The sequence below is a fragment of the Homo sapiens genome, chromosome 13 (assembly GCF_000001405.40).
Source record: "Homo sapiens chromosome 13, GRCh38.p14 Primary Assembly".
Classification (NCBI taxonomy): domain Eukaryota; kingdom Metazoa; phylum Chordata; class Mammalia; order Primates; family Hominidae; genus Homo; species Homo sapiens.
In genome coordinates, this window is record NC_000013.11 from 25465191 (window position 1) to 25491399 (window position 26209).

Consider the following 26209-nt stretch of genomic DNA (forward strand, 5'->3'; position numbering starts at 1 on the left):
CTGTAGATGGTGTAATGTTTCCTTAGGCAATATGTTTTCCACAAATTTTTTTTGAAAATTTTTTTTTCTAATACAGGGTTAGGTTGAGATGAGGCCACTGAGGTAGAAAGAATTTATCTGAATCTTGGGGACAGGTGCGGGGTGGTATAACTATTTCTACCTAGGAAAAAATCCCAAGGTTTTCCCTGTTGTGGTATAGAAAGCTGTGTTGACCTGAAGCATGCTAGGTAGATAAGTGGGAGATATTATTCCACTTCATTCTGTCATCACTATTTACTCGTGTCAATAATTTTTTTCACTCCAATATTTGTTATCCAACATCTAAATTCTTGTTTGGAAAAGTTATTGTTCCTGTTATTTATCAGTGATTTTTTTTTTTTTGTCCCAGTCTTCTTCAAACCTCAGTGGTCTTGTGTTTCTTCCTTTCCTGGTGCACACATTTAAACCTCACCTCCCCAGAAATCTTGCAGAGTTTTCTTTCTTTCTTTCTTTCTTTCTTTCTTTCTTTCTTTCTTTCTTTCTTTCTTTCTTTCTTTCTTTCTTTCTTTCCCTCCCTCCCTCTCTCTCTCTCTTTCTCTCTTTCTCTCTTTCTCTCTTTCTTTCTTTCTTTTTTGGTAGAGATGAGGTCTTGCTATGTTGCCTAGGCTGGACTCGAACTCCTGGGCTCAAGGCATCCTTCCCAACTTGGCCTCCCAAAGTGTTGGGATTACAGGCATGAGCCACCATGCCCAGCTGAGGGTTTTCTTTTCAGATGTTTCTTATGTCCATCCTTTTATCCCAACCTCCATTTAATTCATGCTTTTATCATCTTGCTTCTAGATTGTAGAATTAATTTCCTACCTGGTTCGCTTATCTAAAAATTCTCCTCTTCTGCTCTTCCCCCTTTGCCATCACTGCCAGATGCTCTTCTCTCCTGCTCAGAAACTTCCTGTGGCCTCCTGTGACCTTCAGGATGAAGTTCAAGCTTCTTTGCTTGGCATTGAGTCATCCACAGTCTGGCCACAGGCTATTTTTTTTGGTGAACTTTTTTTCTACTTTTTCCCAGTTTGGACCCTCAGGGTTGATTTGTTTTTTTTAGTTGGCCCTGATACAATTTTGTCTGCTTGGGCCTTTGCTTAAGCTCTTCTTGCCCTTGCCCACAATGCCCTTCCCTTTCCTACAATGCCCTTCCCTTTCCTAATCCACACCTCACCCACATTGCCAGGCTCTTCTGTCTGTACTCAGAATCTATTCCACCACCTGCCCTCCCAGCACAAAGAGGCTGCTGACCTCTGAGCCTCCTTAGCACCTTTGGGCCCACTCTTAGTCACACACTGGTAAGTAACCATGGTTACACCTTTATGCCTTAATTGAGGGAACATTTTCAAGGGCAGGAACCTGATCTTCTGTTTTTGTGTTCTCAGCGGCATCTAACAAGTGATCCTGACTGGGTGCTCATCAGCATCACTTAGTGATCTTTAGAAGCAAAACACAGTGACCACAGAATCTGAGAGGGCAGGGCCCGGGAACTAATACATTGTGGAAGCTGCATTGGTAATACTAATGCACAGGGGAACTGAGAGCCGCTAGGTGAGCAATGAACCACTTTGACCACGCACTGTTCAGTGAACCCAGCCTGTCCCTACTGTCCTGGAGCTTGGGCTTCTGGGTGCAGTGAGACAGAGCATCCATAAATAAAATCAGGTAATGATGATATCTGGTACTGTGGAGGAAGACAAGGCAGGGTTAGTGGGCAGAGAGAAAAGCAGTACTTCCATATAGGCTAGCTTCAAAAATATTCTCCATCTGTCTTACATCAGCAAATGCTCCAACACCTGGCCTTCCCTGATTGAAGTCCGGGAGCCCCAGCTGGTGGGCCAGACAGTCTGGAAGAAGGGATTCTTGCTCTCTGCTGCCGCTTGTTGATGAGTAGACGACCAAGCAGTGTCCCATGGGGAGCCAGAAAGACCCCAGAGAGTGGGAGGTTGGAGGGAAGGAGATGAGGGATCCTGTCTGAGTGAGGAATAGCCAGGGTGCTGTGGGCACACGCAAAAAGCAAGAGGAAAACTGGAGTGTGCCTGGCCTGTGACCAGGGACCTGGCTTGAGCCCCGGAGCCTGCACCCACTAGGCGTCCCCATCTAGGTGAAGGGAGAAGCCTTAGCCCACTTCAGACTTAACTCTTACTTAATATTCGGAATAATATGTCAGCTTTCAGTAAACGAGTTTACATTTCGCTTGTCCCTTTCTTAGGATAAGGATTATCATCCTTCTAATCACTTTAAAAAGATGATGTAGCGAAAACTTTCTCTTTAAAAGTGTTTCTCTATGACAGTGAAAAGTATTCTTTGTAACAGGGAAGTGAAGGTTTACTTGCGTAAGATGTCAGTTTTTTTTTTTTTTTGAGACGAGTCTCCTTGTCGCCCAGGCTGGAGTGCAGTGGCGCGATCTCAGCTCACTGCAGGCTCCGCCCCCCGGGGTTCACGCCATTCTCCTGCCTCAGCCTCCCGCGTAGCTGGGCCTACAGGCGCCCTCCACCTTGCCCGGCTAATTTTTTGTATTTTTAGTAGAGATGGGGTTTCACCGTGTTAGCCGGGATGGTCTCGATCTCCTGACCTCGTGATCCGCCCGCTTCGGCCTCCCAAAGTGCTGGGATTACAGGCTTGAGCCACCATGCCCGGCCAAGATGTCAGTTTTTTAATGGTGTGCAACGTCCGTTTCTTTGATAGTTGGAAAGCGTGGCAGGTATTAGAGGGCGAATGTATATTTAAGAAAAACAAGATAAGTCTTCATCTGTAGAGTATTAATTTTTCTGTGATCCTTTATCTCAGACGCCTCTCCTCTGAAGGTCACTGCTCAAGCTGGGCAGCCCCTTCTAAGAAGGGATGCTGCCTTGGAGTTGGAGATGAGGTTAAGATCTACGTGCGGGTACCAGTTTCAGTAATAACTGGATCCTTCTCTAGGTCTAGGCTGGAACGTCTCAAGTGAAGGTTATTGGGGGGCAGGGGTTTGGGTCCACCCAAAAAGGCTTGACCCATAGGACTGAAATCAAATCTTGAGCTAGGCTGGCTTGCCACGTAACCACAGAAACAGTAATTTAAGCAATAAAATGAAAGCTCGAGCGCTGGTCCAGAGCTGGGGTTGGGACAGCTACTGCACTCAGGTCTCCAGGTGCATGTAGGGAGAAGAGCAGCGGATCCCTTGCAGACAATGGTGGGAGCGAGCTCTTCACCCTGGGGTCTCCGAAGCCCATTTTTAGCGTCCAGAGGTGTGCTTTCGCCATCTCCTTCTGCGGTGGCTGCTTGCAGGGCGCATTCCCATTGCTGCTGTCTCTGTTCCTAAGGAAGATCAAAGGATCCCAGAAAACCCAGTTCCAGAGCTCAGTTCCCGGGACTAGAGGGTACGCTCGGCCAGATGGCTGGGGGTGCCGCTGGCCTTGGCGCCCCCGCCGTCCCCGCGCGGTCGCCCACCCCGGCCCGACAAGCAGCTTGGGCGTCCAGCCCGGCCCGGTCCCTGCAGGGAGGGAGCGCAGGAGCTGGGGGCGGCTCTCCCGGGGCGGGGCTCGCTCCACAAGCGCCAGGGGCCGCGCGGGGCGTGGGCGTGGGCGGGGCCGGGGGCGGGGCCGGCCTTGGCTGCCGCGGCACAGGCGGCGGCGTCTCCAGGGGGAGCCAAGGTACGTAGGCGGCGTCCGCCTCACCCGAGCATCCTTCCCCGCCGGTGGCCGCCCGCCCGCGGCCCGCGCTCGCAGCCTCCCGCCTGGCGGTTGACTTCTTTGTGTCGTATTCTCTGCCTGCGCCCTGTCTCTGCAGGACCTGTTCGTTCTTCTTTGGGCTATAAGAAGGCAGAGGATGAGATGTCCCGGGCCACGTCTGTTGGAGACCAGCTGGAGGCACCCGCCCGCACCATTTACCTCAACCAACCGCATCTCAACAAATTCCGCGACAACCAGATCAGGTAGGAGAAGGCGGCCGGCTCGCGCGGAAGGCGGTGGAGTCACAGCTGGGAAGGGGCTCGTCCTCCTGCGCGGGGCTTGGCCGCGCACCTGGCCGGCCCCCGTCCATCTCCCCCAGAGCCTTCCCCTGCCCCCTCCCCACCCCACTAGCCCGCGGTGCAGCCCCGCGCTTCCAGTAGGGTCATGCGAATGCAGCCCTCACCGTTCTCTCCTGCGCATCCGTTCTGCGCCCAGCCTGCCTCTGAGCCCTGAGAAGTTTTCACTCTAATGTCACCGACAAAAACGAGGTCTCTGCTCTTTTCATCCCTGGGCTTCCTTCTCGGAACCCCTTCTAGCCTTGTTTTAAGCCAGTTGATAGCCTTCTTTAGCAATTTTTAGACCATACTATGGGGGACGTGCTTCATAAGGGAATCCCACAAGTCACAAGGAATCACATTCAGTTCTCAGTGGTCCACGACAATTGTTAAGAGGTCTTCATTTGCTGCGAAACTTTGCCCAGAGTTAGCAGAAAGATGGACAGAAGCTAGCGTTTAAATGTCTACTTTTGCTGGCCGCTATGTCACACACCCTGGCTATAGCAGCTTAGTGAATCTTCATAACCTATTGAAGCAGGCCAGGAGACTGGAATATAAAGATGCTAAATAATGTACCTATAGTCATACAGCTCCTAAATGGCAGGGCTGGAAATTGAACCCAGCCCATCTGACTACTAAGGATAAAATTTTTTCTGCTGTGCAAAGCTAGTTCTTTATCACGGGTGTTCGTACATTTTCAAATTTCATTAAACTTTCAGGCTTAAACAACTTTGTATCTGGGAGAGACTTCAGAGGATGTAGTTCTGTGAGCTGCTCAGAACACCATGCTTGGGTGTAGAGAAGTTCAGTGATTTATCAGGTTACACATAGATTATTGACAAACCTGAGTTCCAATCCAGTGTTCTTTTTTGGAAGACAAAAACTTTGTTGTTATATGTTTAAGTATTCCACTACTGCACTAACACTTGTACAAATGACTTAGCCTGACATCTTTATTTAGAAAGGTCAGGCAGTTGGACATTATTGGGGTAGAATAATGGTGCATATTATATGGAGGTGGAATTTTCACTTATTAAAGGAGTGTTAGATTATGCAGCTTTATTTTGGGTTTTAAGAATGACAGTTGGGCATATTTTATACTTAAAAGTGTAATTTAGAAGAATAGCTGAGTCCCCATTTCAGAATGTGTGGGCTTCGTTTAAGATACAGAGCATCAGTCGCAGTGAGTTACCACTTCACAAACTAGGGTGGCTCCAATCAAAAAGACAAATAACAAGTATTGGCAATGATTTAGAGAACTTGGTATCCTCATGCATTACTGATGGGGATGAAAAACGATGGAGCTGCTTTGGAAAACAGTAAAAATGATGGAGCTGCTTTGGAAAACAGTTTGGTAGTTCTTCAAAAGGTTCAATGTAAAGTTACCATATGACCTAGCCGTTCTACTCCTGGGTAATCTGCCCGAGAGAAATGAAAACCTACGTCCACACAAAAACTCATACACATATATTTCACAGCAGCATTATTGTGAATAGCCCCAAAGTAGAAATAATCTAAATGTCCATCAGCTGATGAATGAATAAATAAGATGAAGTATATCCATACAGTGCAATATTATTGGGCCATAAAAAGGAATGAAATATTGACACATTCTACAACATGGATGAGACTTGAAAGCATTATGCTAAGTGGAAGAAGCCAGTCACAAAAGGCCTCATAGTACATGATTCCATTTATATGAAGTATCCAGAAGAGGCAAATTTATAGAGTTATGAGGTAAATTAGTGGTTCCTGGGGCTGGGGAAGAGAGAAAAGGTTGGGGGGAAATGGGGAATGACTGTGAATGTGGATGGGGTTTCATTTTGGGGTGATGGTTGCACAACTCTGTGAATTTACCTAAACCATTTGGAATCCTGCACTGCTCATGTAGTTCCATTTCTTTACACCTTCTCGCATGTGTTTCTATTGAATTGCTTTCAAAAAGATGATTTTCTAAAAGATATATACTGTATAAGGATATGGGATTTGAAGAGCTACTTTTCTTTTTAAACTTTAGTGTGTTTTCAAGATGTATTTTTGCTTAATTTCTATTAATTCCTTTAATTTTGTTATCCATTTATGCATGCTTAAGGCTGGGAGAAAAAAAAAATAGAGGCCTTTGTTTTTGTCTAAATTCTTTTGTTTTAATGGAAGGTAAAGTTTTTTTTTTTTTTGGAGATGGAGTCTTGCTCTGTCTCCCAGGCTGGAGTGCAGTGGTATGATCTTGGCTCACTGCAACCTCCGCCTCCTGGGTTCAAGTGATTCTCCTGCTTCAGCCTCCCAGGTAGCTGGGATTACAGGCGCCTGCCCAGCTAATTTTTGTATTTTTAGTAGAGACGGGGCTTCGCCATGTTGGCCAGGCTGGTCTCAAACTACTGACCTCAGAGGATCCACCTGCCTCAGCCTCCCAAAGTGCTGGAATTACAGGTGTTAGCCACCAGGCCCAGCTGGAAGGTAAAGATTTTTAAGAGCACTGATAATGGAGCTTCACTACCTGTTCTGTAATCAAGATTGAAAGCTGACCCAGACTGATTGTATTATTAGTCAGAGGGATTCCGAGTAGCTGTCTGCTGTGCAGTTTCATCTGTACTGTTTTGAGAGAGGCAGAGTAAGTTGGGGATGTACAGTGGGTTGGTGAGGAATAAAGTAGTCAGTTACCAGCTATTGTATTGAAAGCTTTATGTAAGTATATAATTGAATTAGTTGAAATATATTAAAATTCATATAATTTCTGAGTTCATGGCTTATACTGTGAGCGTAAGTTTCCGCATGCACTGGATAGGGTCTAAGAAATTAAAATGTGGTCCTTGATGTTCTTTAAAATGGCCTTTGAGTATTTGGTTCGCCTTGACTCTGTGTTTAAATAGGAATTACTAATGGTTATCAGTGACTTGTAGTTCATTAAAAAATTGGTTGTAGGCCAGATGCAGTGGCTAACACCTGTAATCCCAGCACTTTGGGAGGCCAAGGTGGGTGGATCACTTGAAGCCAGGAGTTTGAGACCAGCCTGGCCAACATGGCAAAACCCCATCTCTACCAAAAATACAAAAATTAGCCGGGCGTGGTGGTGCTTGCCTGTAGTCCCAGCTACTCGAGAGACTGAGGCACAAGAATCGCTTGAATCCAGGAGGCAGAGATTGCAATGAGCCCAAATCACACCACTGCACTCTAGCCTGGGTGACAGAGCAAGACTCCGTCTCAAAAAAAAAAAAAAAAAATTGATTATAAAGCTTCTTAGCATTATGGTTTAAGGATTTGAGAAAACGTCGAGCCATATTATTTTAGCACTTTAATGTTACTGAACTCAAGTTTTATGATAATATTGATTTTTAAAAATAAGGCCTTTTATCTTGGCCATGAATGTTTGCTAAAAGTTAATGAAGCTATTCAAAGGAATATTTTTATAAAAGGATAAATAATTTGTTTTTTAATATAATTTTTCTGGAGAAAAGGTTAATGGTTTTCTTAGAGGCAGGGCATGGAGAGTTTATCCCAGTTCCTTTGCCCCTAAATTGAGCTTTTTGAAAAGAAGGGACCACATGGGATAGATGAGGCTCAGGCCTGTCTGCTGACTCAGGGCTAACTTACCTTGTTGTACTCCTTGGCAGGCCTGTCCTCTCTGGAACAGAGTTCTCTCCCCTACTTTCCTCAACCCTAAGCCAGTTTTGGTTTGAAACCCTCTGGATCATAGCAGTTGCTCTGCGCTTGCCTTTCTGGGAAGCTGGCATTTGACTAGGAATGGGAGTTTGATACAGAGGAAGGGAGGGCAGCGAGGGGCGGCATGCTGTCATTCAGGACAGGAATTCTATGGATCAAGTTTACTGGAATGGAATTGATGTGACTGAAGAAAGATGGTGGGTCTAGGGAAATGCCTAGAAAGCAGGAGTGAGGTCCCCTCTGAGGTCCATTGTGGCCTCAGCACCCCCAGGGGTATGCACTACATGAGAACTCTGAATTCTGGCCAATTCCTTGAATTTTTGGGAGGGACTGTGCTATGTATATAGATGTCTCACCAAACCTTGTTCTCATTCTTGACGCTGAAAATACCACCAGTGTTTGATCTGAAGTCTGTGGTAGGTTTATTAAGTTTTTCATTATTGAAGCCAATGAATTCAGATTATCATAATGATGGAGAATTATGAAGTAGTCTTTTTCTACTAGGGATTGATTTTCTAGGACCTTAACTATGAGAACAATAACTTTCTTCATCCTCTGGAAATGAATAGTAATTAATGGGATTCAATGTTTATATACATATGTAAGATTATGTATGTGTCCACCTAATAAGATCTCCTTTTCCTGGAGTGTACAATCATATCTCCTTTCAAATGTTTTAAAGGTTTTAGTGCACAATTCAGCCATCTGAAGTATACAATTCAGTGATTTTTAATATATTCATTGTGCAACTATCATCACAGTCAATTTTGGAACATTTTCATCACCTCCAAAAGAAATATTATACTCTAGCTATCATCTCCCATCCCTTCCTCCCCCCACCCCTAAGGAACCACAAATTTACTTTATATTTCTGTAGATTTCCCTGTACTGGACATTTTGTATAAATAGCCTCATATCCTTTTAAGTTAAATATTAAATGCTTACAAAAGCTCACTATTTAGAGGAAACTGGTGGTGAATTTTTAATTTTATATATCTAAATTTTCAAGAATGTTTAAAGTTAAAATGTTTTTTTCCCCCAGAAAAATCTTGAAATAATGTGCTGATCAAAGGAATGAGCAATACTTATGTCATCACTATCAGACATATGTAATCTTTCTATGTGATTAGCAGCATGCCATTTGAAATAGTGAATTTCAAAGCCATAAGGCAGTTTTCTTCAATATTTGAAATGAGGTCTTCAAAGCTAGTTAGGAATGTTTATAGTTACTCAGTTTTGAATGACTCATTCATTTCAGGTGGGCGTTTTAGCTAGCAAAAACTTCATTACAGTGGTAACTCGAGCTTTGTCAAGTTACTGCATTTCTTCAGGTTGGTTTGCCTTAAAGGAAAATTACTTCATACAAATTTTTGGTAAGTTTTTGTTGGCTTTGCCAAGGTTAATTTTAAATAGAATATTACCTTTACAGGGCCAGGCGCAGTGGCTCGCGCCTATAATCCCAGCACTTTGGGAGGCCGAGGTAGGCAGATCACGAGGTCAGGAGATTGAGACCATCCTGGCTAACATGGTGAAACCCCGTCTCTACTAAAAATACAAAAAAATTAGCTGGGCGTGGTGGTGGGCGCCTGTAGTCCCAGCTACTCGGGAGGTTGAGGCAGGAGAATGGTGTGAACCTGGGAGGCAGAGCTTGCAGTGAGCAGAGATCACACCACTGCACTCTAGCCTGGGCGACAGAGCCAGACTCTGTCTCAAAAAAAAGAAAAAAAAAAAAAGAATATTACCTTTACAGAAAAAGGAATTGAGCACTGTATGCTAGGTTGGTACAGTATCATTGTTTATAATATTAATGCTGAGATCCTAATTTTTTTTTTAACCTTGTTTTTTGGTTGTTTTGTTTTAATTTATATTTTAGGTTCGGGATATGTGTGCAGGTTTGTTATATAGGTAAACTCATGTCATAGGGGTTTGTTGTACAGATTATTTCATCACCCAGATACTAAGCCTAGTACTCAATAGTTATTATTATTATTATTATCTGAGACAGAATCTCATTCTGTCGCCCAGGCTGGAGTGCAGTGGTGCAATCTCGGCTCACTGCAACCTCTTCCTCCTGGGTTCGAGCCTCAGCCTCCTGAGTAGCTAGGATTACAGGCATGTGCCACCATGCCTGGCTAATTTTTGTATTTTTAGTAGAGATGGAGTTTCACCATGTTTGTCAGGCTGGTCTCAAACTCCTGACCTCAGGTGATCCACCCGCCTTGGCCTCCCAAAGTGCTGGGATTACAGGTGTGGCTCACACCTGTAATAGGCCACTGTGCCCGGCCTCAATAGTTATTTTTTCTGCACCTCCTCCTTCTCCCACCCTCCACCCTCAAGCAGGCCTCAGTGTCTGTTGTTTCCTTCTTTGTGTCCATGAGTTCTCATCATTTAGCTCCCTCTTGTAAGTGAGAATATGCGGTATTTGATTTTCTGTTCCTGTGTTAGTATGCTAAGGATAATGGTCTCCCCCTCATTCCACATTCCCGCAAAAGACATGATCTCATTCTTTTTTATGGCTGCATAGTGTTCCATAGTGTATATGTACATTTTCTTTATCCAGTCTGTTGTTGATGGACATTTAGGTTGATTCCATGTCATTGCTATTGTGAATAGTGCTTCAGTGAGCATTCGAGTCCACGTGCCTTTATGGTAGTAGGACTTATGTTCCTCTTGGTGTATACCCAGTAATGGGATTGCTGAGTTGAGTGGTAGTTCGGTTATTAGCTCTTTGAAAAACTTCCAAACTGCTTTTCACAGTAGTTGAACTAATTTACACTTTCACCAACAGTGTGTAAGTGTTCCCTTTTCTCTGCAACCTCACCAGCGTATGTTATATTTTGGCTTTTTAAATAGCCATTCTGGTGGTGTGAGATGGTACTCATTGTGGTTTTGATTTGCGTTTCTCTAATGATCGGTGATAGTGAGCATTTTTTTCATATGTTTGTTGGTGGCATGTGTGTCTTCTTTAGAAAAGTGTCTGTTCATATCTTTTGTCCACTTTTTAATGTGGTTGTTAGTATTTTGTTCTTATAAATTTGTTTCAGTTCCTTATAGGTGCTGGATATTAGACCTTTGTCAGATGCATAGTTTGCATATATTTTCTCCCATTCTGCAGGTTGTCTGTTCACTCTGTTTGATGGTTTATTTTGCTGTGCAGAAGCCCTTAAGTTTAATTAGATGGGATCATAATTCTAAAAGAATATTTTTGTCTTAAGGAGTAAAAAGAACAAAATAATCTTCAGTAACCAATTTGTCCATGAATAGTGGGGAGAGATTATATATGTGGTACTAGATCCAATGTCATTGAGTACTGTGAGGATGAAGAATTCTCCTCTAAATGTTTTAATGCTGCAGAATTTATGTAGGATCTGGTCTTAATGCACAAGCTGCTTACAATTTAGCAAAGAAGCAATACCAGCATCCTAGTTAGAATCATAACTTTTTTTTTTTTTTGAGATGGAGTCTCACTCTATTGGCCAGGCTAGAGTGCAGTGGCGCGAACTCCACTCATTGCAAACCTTTGCCTCCTGGGTTCAAGCGATTCTCCTGCCCCTCAGACTCTCGAGTAGCTGCGATTACAGGCACCCGCCACCACGGCCAGCTAATTTTTGAATTTTTGGTAGAGAACGGGGTTTCACCACATGGGCCAGGCTGGTCTTGAACTCCTGACCTCAAGTGATCCATCTGCCCTGGCCTCCCAAAGTGCTGGGATTACAGGTATGAGCCATGACGCCTGACAGAATCATAACTTTTTTGGTTTATGTAAAGATCATTATCTTAAAAACCAAGGTTATGTAATCTCTGATTTGAGACTGCTGTCTTTATCAAGTTTGGCAAAGGTAAAAGTATTCCTTATCAAGAGTAATTGCTGATGTTGAAAACAGTCTCAAGATTTTCCTTCTGGGTATGCTGCTTTTTGTTTAGAAGTGGATATACTTGGTTAATTTCCAAGCCAGGCACTGTACTTTCTGAACGTGAATGGCACAACAATCCTGAGTTCTTATTTTCGATGTACCAGCAGCAATTAATGCCATAGAAGAGTCTTGTAATGAGAACTGTTATCACCTTTACACCCCTGGACAAGTCTTTTGAGGAATCCTGCAGACGAAAATATTGGAACTGGGGGAGCTTTGGCATAGTACATTCCAGGTAACCATTGAATGTGTGAGCTTTCTTGAAGAGTATTTTTAGAAACAGAAAAGCCTGTCAGCATTGGGCCAGTTTTATATTTGGTGTTTCTAAGGAAACAGCAAATGTCTAAGAGGACAGACTTTCATGGTGATTTCTTTATCAAGTTGACCCCTGTGTGGGTGGATAATGGAGCCCAGTTTGAATTTGACCAAAAAAAATCTGTGCCATTTCCACTGTTTAAAATAGGTAAAAGCATTTGGTTTGAGAATTTTGGTCAGTAATTTATTTCCCCTCTCTCCTCTTCCCAAATTCTGTTAACTCTTATTGTCTGCTGTGAACTTGGAAGCATTTATGATTTTTGATTAAAAAGAATTAAGCATCAGGATTTGTGAGACAAATTAAAACTCAACCAGAATTGGAAGAGACCCAAGACGTGACAAGTAAGTACTGTGTGGGTCCCTGAATTGGATTCTGGAACAGAAAAGACATTGGTGGAAAAACTGGTGAATCTTGAATAAAGTCTGTAATTGGATTAGCATTGTGCCAGTGTTACTTTCGTAGTTTTGACAATTGTGCTATGGTGATGTAAGATGCTAACATTGTGGGGAAACTGGACGAAGGATAGATGTCAACTCTATTATTTTTGCAACTCTTCTATAAGTATACAGTTTTCGGCCAGGTGTGGTGGCTCACACCTGTAATCCCAGCACTTTGGGAGGCCGAGGCAGGCAGATCACCTGAGGTCAGGAGTTCAAGGCCAGCCTGGTGAACATGGTGAAACCCCGTCTCTACTAAAAACACAAAAATTAGCCAGGCACGGTGGCGGGTGCCTATAATCCCATCTACTCAGGAGGCTGAGGCTGGAGAATCGCTTGAACCCGGGAGGTGGAGGTTGCAGTCAGCAGAGATCGCACCATTGCACTCCAGCCTGGGTGACGAGAGTGAAACTCTGTCTCAAAAAAGAAAAAAGTATACTATTTTCTCAAACAAATCTTAAAATCAACTAGAAGTATCTGAGAGAATAGGAATGAAATGCTAAACTCTTGTTTTTCTGTTGAATACTTTAGTAAATGTTTGGATCTTTAATTGGAAACATACATGATTTTGAAGGGAGGATGGTCAGAAGAAAAAAGGATCAGTATCTTCATATGTTTGTTGTGATGAGTAGATGGGAAAACCCTTACTCTCGGGGCATCAAAGAACATTCCCTATGCTCACAAACAGCACCAAGGGTTTGTTTGCATAATGTCTGATCTAGTTGCTTAAGTTGAAAAAGTAGGTAACAAAGTAGACTGCTCTGTTTTTGCTCAGTTTAGTCATGTGAGCTTCTGTGTCGTTATCCAGAAAGTTGCATCTAAGTGTTTGTTCTACTACTTATAGCTGAGTCACTCAACAGACAGCAAAAGCTTACTCAGAAATGCTAATCAGCAACCCTTTCAAGAGGGACAATGCTTAGACAGAACAAAAGGAGAGGTCTGACCATTGTGGGGATGTAGGGATGTTTAACAAAGAAATTTCCTGAAATCCATGAGGTTGGGTTTGGTCATTCAAATGCTGACCCATTCTTTTCTCTTAAATGAAAGCCAGCTCTTCAAAACTGAAATCATAGGTTTTTAGCCTTTACTATTTTATATTAGATGTCATTAAAAATGATTTGGGGTTGAGTTTGGGATGATGTTAGTCACTCTGATGGATTATTCTATGTATCTTCAGTCTACGTATAACATATACCATACGAAAGGCTTTTGGAGAGTGTTGGCAGGTTTCAGCTTAGAAAAGACTTCAGCTTGAGAGTGGACCTAACTCTCATGTAAGTTCTCTGTCTATATCAGTGGTCTCCAAAACTTTTTCATTGGATGTCCCATTTGTAACACTTTTTTTTTTCTTTTTGGAGTCTTGCTGTGTCACCAGGCTGGAGGGCAGTGGCGTGATCTTGGCTCACTGCAACCTCCGCCTCCTGGGTTCAAGTGATTCCCCTGCCTCAGCCTCCCAAGTAGCTGGGACTACAGGCACGTGCCACCATGCCTGGCTAATTTTTTGTATTTTAGTAGAGACGGGGTTTCACCATTTTGGCCAGGATGGTATCGATCTCCTGACCCCATGATCTGCCCTCCTCGGCCTCCCAAAGTACTGGGATTACAGGCATGAGCCACCACACCCAGCCCATAAAATTCTTTAGCATGAACCTTTGATATGTATATTTAAAACATTGGTATACATGTGCTATCATTGTTAGTTATTATCTGAAGACCCAGTACATATTTACCAAGATTCTCCGTTAAGGATTATGGATGTAAGTACATATTGTTCACAGTCTTCTCTATTATTTTGAATGCTTTTGGCCGATTTGTCAGATTTGATTAAATTACCCTAATGTTTAACCTAGTAAAATGGTTTTAAAGAGCTTTTACTAGGAATGTAAGTGTCAATTCTGCTGCTTTTTATTTTCTTGTAATTGCATTATTAATAAGTATAATTTCCAATTTGTGGTTTTGTTGTATGATTCTTTTATTTTTATTTTTATTTTTATTGATCATTCTTGGGTGTTTCTCACGGAGGGGGATTTGGCAGGGTCATAGGACAATAGTGGAGGGAAGGTCAGCAGATAAACAAGTGAACAAAGGTCTCTGGTTTTCCTAGGCAGAGGACCCTGAGGCCTTCCGCAGTGTTTGTGTCCCTGGGTACTTGAGATTAGGGAGTGGTGATGACTCTTAAGGAGCATGCTGCCTTCAAGCATCTGTTTAACAAAGCACATCTTGCACTGCCCTTAATCCATTTAACCCTGAGTGGACACAGCACATGTTTCAGAGAGCACAGGGTTGGGGGGTAAGGTCACAGATCAACAGGATCCCAAGGCAGAAGAATTTTTCTTAGTACAGAACAAAATGAAAAGTCTCCCATGTCTACTTCTTTCCACACAGACACGGCAACCATCCGATTTCTCAATCTTTTCCCCACCTTTCCCCGCTTTCTATTCCACAAAACCACCATTGTCATCATGGCCCGTTCTCAATGAGCTGTTGGGCACACCTCCCGGACGGGGTGGTGGCCAGGCAGAGGGGCTCCTCACTTCCCAGTAGGGGCGGCTGGGCAGAGGCGCCCCTCACCTCCCGGACGGGGCGGCTGGCCGGGCGGGGGGCTGACCCCCCACCTCCCTCCCGGATGGGGCAGCTGGCCGGGTGGGGGGCTGACCCCCCCACCTCCCTCCCGGACGGAGTGGCTGGCCGGGCAGAGGGGCTCCTCACTTCCCAGTAGGGGCGGCTGGGCAGAGGCGCCCCTTACCTCCCGGACGGGGCGGCTGGCCGGGCGGGGGGCTGACCCCCACCTCCCTCCCGGACGGGGCGGCTGCCGGGCGGAGACGCTCCTCACTTCCCAGACTGGGTGGCTGCCGGGCGGAGGGGCTCCTCACTTCTCAGACGGGGCGGTTGCCAGGCGGAGAGTCTCCTCCCTTCTCAGATGGGGCGGCTGGGCAGAGACGCTCCTCACCTCCCAGACGGGGTCGCGGCCGGGCAGAGGCGCTCCTCACATCCCAGACGGGGCGGCGGGGCAAAGGCGCTCCCCACATCTCAGAAGATGGGCGGCCGGGCAGAGACGCTCCTCCCTTCCTAGATGGGATGGCGGCCGGGAAGAGGCGCTCCTCACTTCCTAGATGGGATGGCGGCCGGGCAGAGATGCTCCTCACTTTCCAGACTGGGCAGCCAGGCAGAGGGGCTCCTCACATCCCAGACGATGGGTGGCCAGGCAGAGACGCTCCTCACTTCCTAGACGGGGTGGCGGCCGGGCAGAGGCTGCACTCTGGGCACTTTGGGAGGCCAAGGCAGGTGGCTGGGAGGTGGAGGTTGTAGCGAGCCGAGATCACGCCACTGCACTCCAGCCTGGGCACCATTGAGCACTGAGTGAACCAGACACCGTCTGCAATCCTGGCACCTCCGGAGGCCGAGGCTGGTGGATCACTCGCGGTTAGGAGCTGGAGACCAGCCCGGGCAACACAGCGAAACCCCGTCTCCACCAAAAAAATATGAAAACCAGTCAGGCGTGGCAGCGCGCGCCTGCAATCACAGGCACTAGGCAGGCTGAGGCAGGAGAATCAGGCAGGGAGGTTTCAGTGAGCCGAGATGGCAGCAGTACAGTCCAGCTTCGGCTCGGCATCAGAGGGAGACCGTGGAAAGAGAGGGAGAGGGAGACCGTGGGGAGAGGGAGAGGGAGAGGGACAGGGAGAGGAACAGGGACAGGGACAGGGACAGGGACAGGAGTACTGGTCTTCATAGTTACTTCCCAATATTGTTTTTGCCCACATTTTCTGATGGGACATGCAGACTGCATTTCCCAGTTTCTCTTGTAACTAGCGACTGTGTGGCCAACTTCAGGCCAGTGGTCTCTCAGAAGAGTCACATGGCAGTTCTAGGAGCCCTCCTGAGACTCAACGCCCATGCATCCTTCATTCCTCCTCCATCCTGAGCCAGGAATGTGGATGCCTGTATGATTCTTAAACCATTTGTTCTTTTGGGAGGGTTAATTTAGTTTAAATTGGATAAAGTGATGGATGACTCCACCTAGCTGGGACCTGGAAATTGAAATGTGTAGTAGTAAGGAGAGAGACAGACAGGGAGGGTACCACTGTTATCCCTGTATTAGCTCAGGCTGCCATAGCAAAATACATAGACTGCGGGGGCGTAAGCAGGTGTTCGTCTTCTCATAGTTCTAGAGGCTGGAAGTCCAAGATCAGGGTGCCAGCATGATCTGGTTCTGGTGCGGGCTCTCTCCTGGCTTGCAGATAGCTGCTTTCTTGCCATGTCCTCCCAGAACAGAGAGAGTGAGCAAGAGCAAGAGCGAGAGTGAAGGAGAGACAGAGTGAGAGCTCTCTGTCTCTAATAAGGGCACTAATCCCATCTTGAGGGTCCCACCCTCATGACCTCATCTAATCCTAATTATCTCCAAAAGGGCCCAACAGTAGCATCCCATCACATTGGGGGTTAGGGCTTCAACATATGAATTTTAGGAAGGACACAGTTCAGTCCATAGCACCACCCACCCTTCCCATTAAAGAGGTTCCTCTCCAGCCACATTACATAGAATTACGTTGGGACACCAGTGTCAGTGCATTTAATAAATGTTCCTGAAGCTTATTTTTTGGAGGTATATATAAATATAAGCTCTGATAGCATCTTCCCAAACCCCACTTGGAAGCCACCTGCTTTAGATTCAGTTGATTAGGGCCCGCCTTAGAGGAAAACCATCTGGTCAGACCCAGTCTGACTTTTACTTTAGGCCCCAGGAACTCTGAGACTGATCATAAGTCTTGTTCCTTAAGTACCATTCATAATCCTACATTTGGTATATGTGAGGTAAGCATTGCAGTCCCTCTCTGTCAAGAATTGGGGGTGCGTGGTTAGTGGCAGCACTGCAGGGGTGGGAAAGTAGAAGGACGGGGCAAAACTGCTAGTAGAGACCAATGAGCTGGGCCTGAAAGATGAGTACGAGTCAGCCTGGAAACTTGGGTGGGGCTTGGTGGGGAGGGCAGGCCAGACATGGGGAACCCCATGTGCAGAGGTGCAGAAGAGTGTAACGGCCAGGTGTATGTCTTTCCAGAAAAGATGTGGAAGAAGAAGGTGATGTGGTTTGGCTCTGGGTCCCTACCCAAATCTCATCTTGAATTGTAGCTCCCATAATTCCCATATGTTGTGGGAGGGACCTGGTGGGAAATGATTGAATCATGGGGGCGGTTTCCCCCATACTATTCTCGTGGTAGTGAATAAATCTTATGAGAGCTGATGGTTTTATCAGGGGTTTCCACTTTTGCATCTTCCTCATTCTCTCTTTGCCTGCTGCCGTCCATGTAAGACGGGACTTGCTCCTCCTTGCCTTCCACCATGATTGTGAGGCTTCCCCAGCCATGTGGAACTGTAATTCCAATTAAACCTCTTTCTTTTGTAAATTGCCCAGTCTGGGGCATGTCTTCATCAGCAGCGTGAAAACGGACTAATACAGAAGGGATGATGGACAAAGTGCTGTGAAAGGCCAGGCTACTGGAGACGGGCTGCTATAGCCAAGAAAAGCTTTTATGAGCCAGGTGACAAAGTGATAGATAGTACTTGGGTTTGATGTGCACAGCCACCTGCTCTGCATTTAGAATAAGCATATGAGGCTGCTGTCATTGCCCAGGAAGAGGTGCAGGGCTATACTGCTGCAGGAGAAGAGAAGCACTTGGGATGGTTAGCAGTGGGGCTGTAAGTGGACAGAGCACTAGGCAAGTGTGATTTCCAGGTTCCAGTGTTAGTGACGGAGAAGGTGTTGATGCTGTTTCTTGTGTTTCTGAGTTTTGTTTTGAACTATTTTGAACTGTGGAATGGGGCAAGGTGATTGACCTCAGAATAGCAGAAAGCCCCTTTCACCCCAGTATGAGACCACCCCAGGGGAGCAGAGATACACATGTAGGGGGTGATCTCTGTTGGTTGCGTCATGAAGGAGCTCCTTCCTCCAGCAAGGTAGGGGCAGCACTGGCGCTCTTGGAGAGACACCAAACTTTTGACAGATCTTTCCCTACCTCTAGATCTGTTTGGTTTCAAGATACTCCAATTAATAAACTGGAAGTAGAATAATGTCATAGCTTACAGCATGATGAGAATTAAATGAGAACATCTGGGCACAGTGGCTCATGCCTGTAATCCCAGCACTTTGGGAGGCCAAGGCAGGAAGATTGTTTGAGGCTAGGAGTTTGACACCAGCCTGGGCAACATAGTGAGATCCTATGTCTACAAGAAAAAAATAATTAGATGAGAATGTACCTGTTTAAGGCTGCACTGTGTAAGAGCTCACAGACTCACACAGAGTTGCTCATTGACACCAGTTATCTGGTTATTACGAATGTTGTTCTTCTTTGCCACTCATTTTGCTCTCTAATTCTTTGATAACCAAAACAATCAATTATAAGCTGTAACTCGGGGAAAAGGGAAGTGGACTTGCGTATTACTCTGCCCAAGAGTTACACATTGCCAAGGGAAGAAATATGCAGGCTGAAGAATCACAAGGTAGGTTTTGGGCATTAGGGTCTTTTGTACATATATGTTTTCTAGCCTGTAACTGCTAGGAACAAGCAGGCTGGACTGCGAGCATAAGATGAGTCTAAAATGTGTTTGAGAGTGCATGTGTGGATTGGTGTTAAATCAAGAAACTGGCTTCTCCTTTTGGTGTCGTGAAAGAACACAGTTGCATATAAATTCACATTAAATTCACTGACACCTCCTCCTGCAAACAAACACCAAAATTCTTTATGATAGAATGGTTAAAACCTTAAACTTGGTCCACATGTATGACTAGAGTTGTATTGAATTGTGACTATAAAGTCTGCATCTGTATCTTTCTACCCTCCCTCCTTTTTTCCCTTCCATCTTGTTTGGGACCATCAACTTTTTGGCTCTGTGGGGCTCTGCTTTGAATATCTCTGAGGAACTTGGCACTGTGCATAATATGGAAACTGAATACTTAACTGTAGATTCAATGATATAAAGGAATATTATTTATTTATTTATTTATTTTAAATTTTTTCTTTTTTTGAGACAGAGTCTCGCTGTTGCCCAGGCTGGAGTGCAGTGGCGTGATCTTGGCTTACTGCAACATCCCACTCCCGGATTCAGGTGATTCTCCTGCCTCAGCTTCCTGTGCAGCTGGGACTACAGGCGTTCACCAGCAGGCCCGGCTAATTTTTTTGTATTTTTAGTAGAGATGGAATTTCACTATGTTGGCCAGGCTAGCCTCGAACTCCTGACCTCAAGTGATCCGCCTGCCTCAGCCTCCCAAATTGTTGGGATTACAGGCGTGAGCGACCGCAACCGGCAGGAATATTCTTTAAATTATTGAATAAAAAATATGACACTTTTGTTTTTATTCCAGTGAAAGGTGGAAGTTTTGAAAGTATTGCTGTCTAGCATATGAAACACGTTACCAAGCTCTGACAGTTTAAAAATAGAGCTCTTTATTTTAAAACAGTAAGGCCATTTGCTGAATAGTATCACAATTATTTCTCTAGTACTCAGCTTTGTTAAAACTGCCTCATAGTCATTTTTTAATGTTACCTTTACAAATTAGAATTCATTGACCATTCTAACAGTGATGTACCAGAGTAAACTGAATAATTTCACATAATGACGATGCCGTGGTAAGGCAGAAACATGAACTTCTCTCAGTATCACTGTTTTGACTGTCAGCTGTCATGCAGTTTCAACACTACACCTATTTCAACAAAGTTTTGTTCACTGTATAAGATTAGACATAGCAGAGGAAGTAATTTTAAGTACAGGATAGTGCGTGTGTGTGTGTATGTTGGGGAGGTACCACCATTATTCTCTGTACATGGGTCAGTCATATTTGTAAGCCAAACAATGTGGACATTGGAAAGTCAAAAAACTCCAAGACAGAAAACAACATAAGGGAAGATTTCTTTTCATACTTTTACCAACCTCCTTCCACTGCTTTATCTAAATGTGTACACACATAGGCACATGCCATATCTTTTAACGCTTATAATTCACTGGGCCTACACATGAACATCTGTCTTCCTGGGGGACACACCATTTCACCTGGAAAACCATTCTAGTCCACAGTGAGCTGGTGTTGAAAGTTCTTCCTCTGCATCGAGGCTTCCTGTGAGTCCCAGATGATGGTTCTAGACTGTGGCCGACGCATAAGTGGCAGTCGACCCATAACAACTGCAAACATGTTTAATTACTATAACAAAACGTTAATTCTCACATTATATTTGAGTTAGTATTGGACTGTCAGGAATTTAGTAGTTCTCTTAATGTTTAGTTTGATAGTCACAGACCCATTTATAGAGATGACTCTTCAGGACTGCCCCAGGGAGCATATGTGACCTCTTCATATGTTGTTGGGTGTTCTATCACATTGTTGGGAAAGAGTGAGTTTTCTTATTTCACCAATTGACAACATTGCTCCTATACTCAACAAAAATTTAAATGAGGGTTGGAAAAGCTTTCAATTTTTTGCCCCTAAAATTGTACCCCCAAACTCCAGTACTCCATATTAGTATGTACGAACTCTGAGGAAATGCTGAGAAAGCTGGAGACTATCTGTTACTTGCTGACAGTCTTTTCCTGTGTCTAGTTCACTTTCTGAGGTCCTTCTGTGTCTAGTTTTATGGTCCCTTTGCTAGTATTTTGTATGGATGGTTGATGGGTGCAATGTGCAATGCAGTATTCCAAATATTTTTTTTATCATGTGTCATGCACTTAAGTAGACAAGAAGCTATTTTCAATTCAGTGCTGGTGTTTGCCATAGAGTTAAATACGTTTTTTATAGAAATCAACCTGTGATATTTATAAATATTTTAGAAGAGTAGATTATAAGAAAGTTAACTGACTTGGATTTTAAACCATAGTACTTTTTATATAAATAGTTTAAAGATATTGATTTAGCATTCTTCACAGCCAAGTATGTTTTCTTATATATCCTGAAGATAAATTTATTATGTGCCATTTTTTTGAACTATTGTGTTAAGGGACATGATGAATTTTGATATTTTGAGATACAACCATTAGAAAAAAATGAAGAGAGTCTGAATATGTAGCCCTTTAAAAGAAACTTATGTGCTGCTTACTGTTTGAAATACATTGAATATTTTAAAATTAGGACAGCATCAACATGGCTCCACATATACCCGTGGAACAATTGTTACAACAAATAGAGGCTGGGCATGGTAGCTCACACCTGTAATCCCAGCACTTTGGGAGGCTGAGGCAGGTGCTTCGCCTGAGCTCAGGAGTTTGAGACCAGCGTGGGGCAACATGGTGAAACCCCATCTCTATCAAAAGTACAAAAAATTAGCTGAGCATGGTGATGCACGCCTGTGGTCCCAGCTACTTGGGAAGCTGAGGTGGAGGATCGCTTGAGCCTGGGGGGTGGAGGTTAAAGTGAGCTGAGATTGCACCACTGCACTCCAGCCTGGGTGACGGAGGAAAACCCTGTCTCAATTAAAAATATTAATAGTAATAATATAACAAATAGAGCTGTGGTTGAGTTATGCAGAAGTGATGAGCTAAGATGTATTATCTGCTTAGTAAGACTTGAAAGACAGTCTCTAACTAAAAAGGTGAATTGTTTGTAAAACCTTTTTGCCAAGGTTTATGTTCTCCATAAAATTCTCAAATACAATTTTGCGGAGTCTTTGCAGAATGATGTCAGTGCTAGTATTTACTTTTGCTTTCCAGTTCTCGTTCGTGGCATTTTTGTATTCCACAGGCTGTCATGTACCTCTCATTTCCTGTTTTGTGCATATAAAGGTAACTTGGTTGGCGAATCGATGATATATAGATCAGGTATTTTATTTTTAGCCTTCCATTGCATAAGAAAAATCTAGGTTCATTTCGTCTGGGGCAGGCTCTGATTTCTGTTTGTAGCCAGCACTCCTGGTGATTTTGCTGAAGGCGGTCCTCATTTGTTGTCACCCTCATGCAACAATGTATAGTTCATAGGAATTTTTTGAAGATTAAATGAGTTAATATGCATGAGGCACTTTAAACAGCACCTCACTGAGTGCTTTATATATTTTGCTGTTGCTGTAGTTGCATTTTAGATAGTGTGTTTGACAACAACTCTCCCATCAATTTTGGAATGTACCACTTGGGTTTTACAAAAAAAACCAGGTATTGTCTTGTATTAGTAGAGATTAAAAGGTAAGGTGCATATCGAATAGGATGAATGTGTTTCAGGAACAAACTAGAAATGTTTTCTTTTTGCACTAACCTGATTTTGAAGATTAATTCTAGTTTGCCTGAGGTTATCATGGAGAACTTTAAATTATTAAACATGTAATGGAAAAAACATGCAGTGTAATCTTTCTCTCTTTCTTTCTTTTTTTTTTTGTAATAGCCTGAGTGGGAGGGTAATTAGCTATAGTATAAGGAACAAAACATAACAAGTACATGAGTCTTGGCTCTACCAGGGACCAAGTGAATGACCTTAGGTCAAGTCCATGATTTCGCTGAGTCTGACTTTCCTTGTTTGTTTGATGGAAACACACTTCCCTAGAAAGCATGTCGGGAAGCTAAATGAGATTTCAGATGCAAAAATGCCTAGGACACAGTACAGTGGCCGTGGATATCGTATATCCCTTCCTGTTTGACAGGTTGGGTAGGCTTGTTGCTCTTTTTTCTTTCTTTTTTCTCTTTATTGTGGTAAAATACACATAACATGAAATTTATCTTCTTTATTATATTTAAGTATACGATTCAGTAGTGTTAAGGATAGTCACACTGGTGTGCAGCCAATCTCCAGAAAGCTTTTCATCTTGCAAAACTGATACTCTGTCCCTGTTAAACAACTCCCTGTTCTTCCTCCCCGTGCCCCTGGCAGTCACCGTTCTACTTTCTGTCCCTGTGTATTTGACTTCTCCAGGTCCCTCATGTAATAGTCTTATTGCTCGTTGATATAGTAATTACAACTTTACCATTACAAGGAGTCTTGCCTGGGCATGGTGGCTCATGCCTGTAATCCCAGCACTTTGGGAGGCTGAGGTGGGAGGATTGCTTGAGCTCAGGAGTTTGAGACCAGGGCAACATGGCAAAACCCTTTCTTTATGAAAAATACAAAAATTAGCCAGGTGTGGTGGCATGCGCCTGTAGTCCCAACTACTTGGGAGGTGGAGGTTGCAGTGAGCCAAAATCATGCCACTGCACTCCAGCCTGGGCATCAGAGCCATACCTGTCTCAAGAAGAAAAAAACCAAAAGCAGTCTTAGTACTCTATCACACGGTCATTTTTGGTGGTGTTTTTGTCCTTTTTCTATGCTTTATCTCATGTCTTGCTGTGTACCACAGTAAGCACCACTTTTTAAAAAATAGGTATAAATGATTAAAGGAAATTCAGATGACTCCCCCACCCCCCACCCCCCATTTTTGCTGTCTGGTTGACTTTACCATTTGCATCTTTCCCTGACAACCCTGGCTAGGTTGGGATACACCAGGACCAGGGTACAGAGTCATAGTGCCCAGGAGGACGCTTGATGGGGTGGGTATAGATTTTAAACCAGATCTGCTTTTTTGTTGAGTGGATTGTTTTCATGGCACTGGCGCTGGTTCAGTCTCTCGTGTCTCCACCTGTGACAGAGTTTCCCTTTCACCTTCCCGATTGCTGGTGGTTATCGTTCTAAAACAGCCAAGGCACTGTGATTCTCCCTGTTGAGGGACCATCGCTGCTTCTCTTTTGTCTCCAGTAAGATACACAAGGCCACTCTCGTTCTATTCCCGGCTTACCGCACCATCTCCCCAGGCTCCTCTTCCTGTGTCTGGCTGCAGCCTTTAATCACGGCACTTTCCCTGGAACACTGTCTCCTAATCTACTCAAGTTCGTCCTCCTGGAGGGCCCTGTTTTTCAGGCTCAGGTTGCATCTCTGTAAGCAAGCATTTTCTTCCTCGTCCTGCATCTCCACCGTTTGCAGGCGGAGGCAGCCCCTCTGTGCCGCAGCGTTTCTCAGACTCTTTTGCTCTGGAACTTAGCATGCTGCACCACATCTATTTTTATCCATCTCTGACTCTCCTGCTCTGCTGTGTCATCCTTGATGACAAAGTCTGTCTGTTTCCCCTCGCATCCTCCCCAGCACGACGCACAGTTCCTGCCAATGGGAAGTGGAAAACCTTTGCTGAAGGACTGCGCTCTGCAAGCGAAGGTCAGAATTGAACAGAAAATGAGAATTGGCTTAATGTGTTGTTCTCAGATATCCCTTCACACTTAATTGCTTATTGAACAAAGTAGAACCCCCATGGTGATGTGCAGTTACTTATGCCTCGGAAATTGATGTATTGTGTAGTGTTGATGTTGTACTTTCATATATAAACTACTCCTAAAAGGGGGCTGCCGAGGTAAATGCTTTTAATGCCAATTTCTTCAGACTTGGCAGATGGATATCTACCCTCAAATGGAGGTACATTTGGGATTTAATGTGACAGCTGGCATCCTTAGTCATTTATGTTGGTCAAGGTTTAAAACTTGTGTGTTCAACAAATTTTTTTATGGTAGTCGGTGTATACTGTCTTGGTGCTTGGTGTTGCAGCGCAGTGGTGGAATATCGAGGGCTCTGCCTGCAAGGTTACTCCTTAGCTTTTCGGGTATATTTGAGTAAGGGAAGTGTAGTAGAGAACACACATGTTGAATGATCCATTTCCATGGCTAAGTTCGTGGCCCCTTTTTCCTCCTGCTCTCTGGCTCATGCCCTTAGCCTCTTAAAGAAGAGTTACGGGAGAGAAACTCCGAGCAGCCTCCTGGCCTGTTTTTCCTGAGCCGTAAGGTGGGTGCTTCACTCTTCACAGGGCTAGCCCCGTATAGCTTTAATTCCCACAGCACTTTCCTTAGAAGCTCTCCTCGCGGAGCACAGCACGGACGGGCCAGGAGCCGGGGCTCCCATGCCTGAAGCTGCTGTCCTCCAGGAGCCTCAGATGTGAGGCAGAGCCAGTCCCAGCTGGCATCTCCATGGCACAGATGAGGAAACACACCAGAAAGAGTTACATAACTTGCCTGAGTTCCTACAGTCGGTGAGCATCACAGGCTGTGTGGGATGCATTAGGGAGTGGTCTGCCTGAGGTGCAGGCAATAAGAAGGTCCACACAATAAAACCCACTAAAAGTCCATCTGCTTTTAATCATCTCCGTGTACCAGCAGTAACATTCTCCTCCCTGCAAAAGCCTTCTTTTGGACTAAATTCTAAATAATTGCCGTGACTACTAATTAGTTTTTTTGTTTTTTTTTTGTTTGTTTGTTTGTTTGTTTTTTGTTTTTTGTTTTTTTTGGAGAGGAGGTCTTACTCTGTGGGCCAGGCTGGAGTGCAGTGGTACAGTCATACTTCATTACAGCCTCAAATTCTCCCACCTCAACCTCGTAAGTAGCTGGGAATATAGGCACACGTCACCATGCGTGACTAATTAAAGAAAAAATTTAGAGGGTCTTGATGTGTTGCTGTGTTGCCCAGGCTGGTCTCAAACTCCTGCCCCTAAGTGATCCTCCCACCTCAGCCTCCCAAGTTGCTGGGATTACAGTCACAAGCCTGGCTACTTTTAAAGATTTCACATATGTATATAGCAGATATAGTGTGTATATATATAAAATATACACACATATATTCTTCAATGTAGCACATATTTATTTTATTTACTTTTTCTTTTTTTTTGAAGTGCTGTTGGACTTGATTTATTTCTTTTAAGTGACGATTATATTCTACGTGGAAATTCATTAGGAGCATTCCCAGTTAACCCTCTGTCTCCAGTGCCCACAACCAACTGAACAGTACATGTGCATTTTGAGAGCAAGGTCCTAAGAGTTAGGACAGGTCTGGAGTTCCCTTTGGACACAGTGCTCTCCAGGAGCCCCATGGTGCTACATATTCTGGAGTTAGTTAGTTTATGTACTTATTTAT

General features: G+C 44.3%; 1 protein-coding gene across 12 annotated transcripts in view, besides 1 other annotated feature; it reads left to right on the plus strand.

Annotated features, from left to right (window-relative positions):
• Positions 1 to 26209, plus strand: part of ATP8A2 (ATPase phospholipid transporting 8A2) — a 653878-nt gene that overhangs the window by 93217 nt on the left and 534452 nt on the right. For 7 of the 12 annotated variants that reach the window (NM_016529.6, NM_001411005.1, NM_001411006.1 and 4 more), the window contains exon 2: positions 3787 to 3931. In NM_016529.6, coding sequence (NP_057613.4) covers positions 3787 to 3931 — 145 coding nt within the window. Of the gene's footprint in view, positions 1 to 2592; positions 3378 to 3583; positions 3651 to 3786; positions 3932 to 11681; positions 11810 to 22471; positions 24470 to 26209 lie in introns of those variants that run through there. The other 5 variants (XM_005266419.2, NM_001313741.1, XM_047430383.1 and 2 more) reach the window with 4 other exon arrangements.
• Positions 12989 to 13864: an enhancer, noted in NCBI's record as "OCT4-NANOG-H3K27ac hESC enhancer chr13:26052317-26053192 (GRCh37/hg19 assembly coordinates)". NCBI's record gives its function as "activates a minimal SCP1, AML or CMV promoter by ChIP-STARR-seq in primed H9 embryonic stem cells {active_cell/tissue: H9 hESC(primed)}" and the evidence as "EXISTENCE:reporter gene assay evidence [ECO:0000049][PMID:30033119]".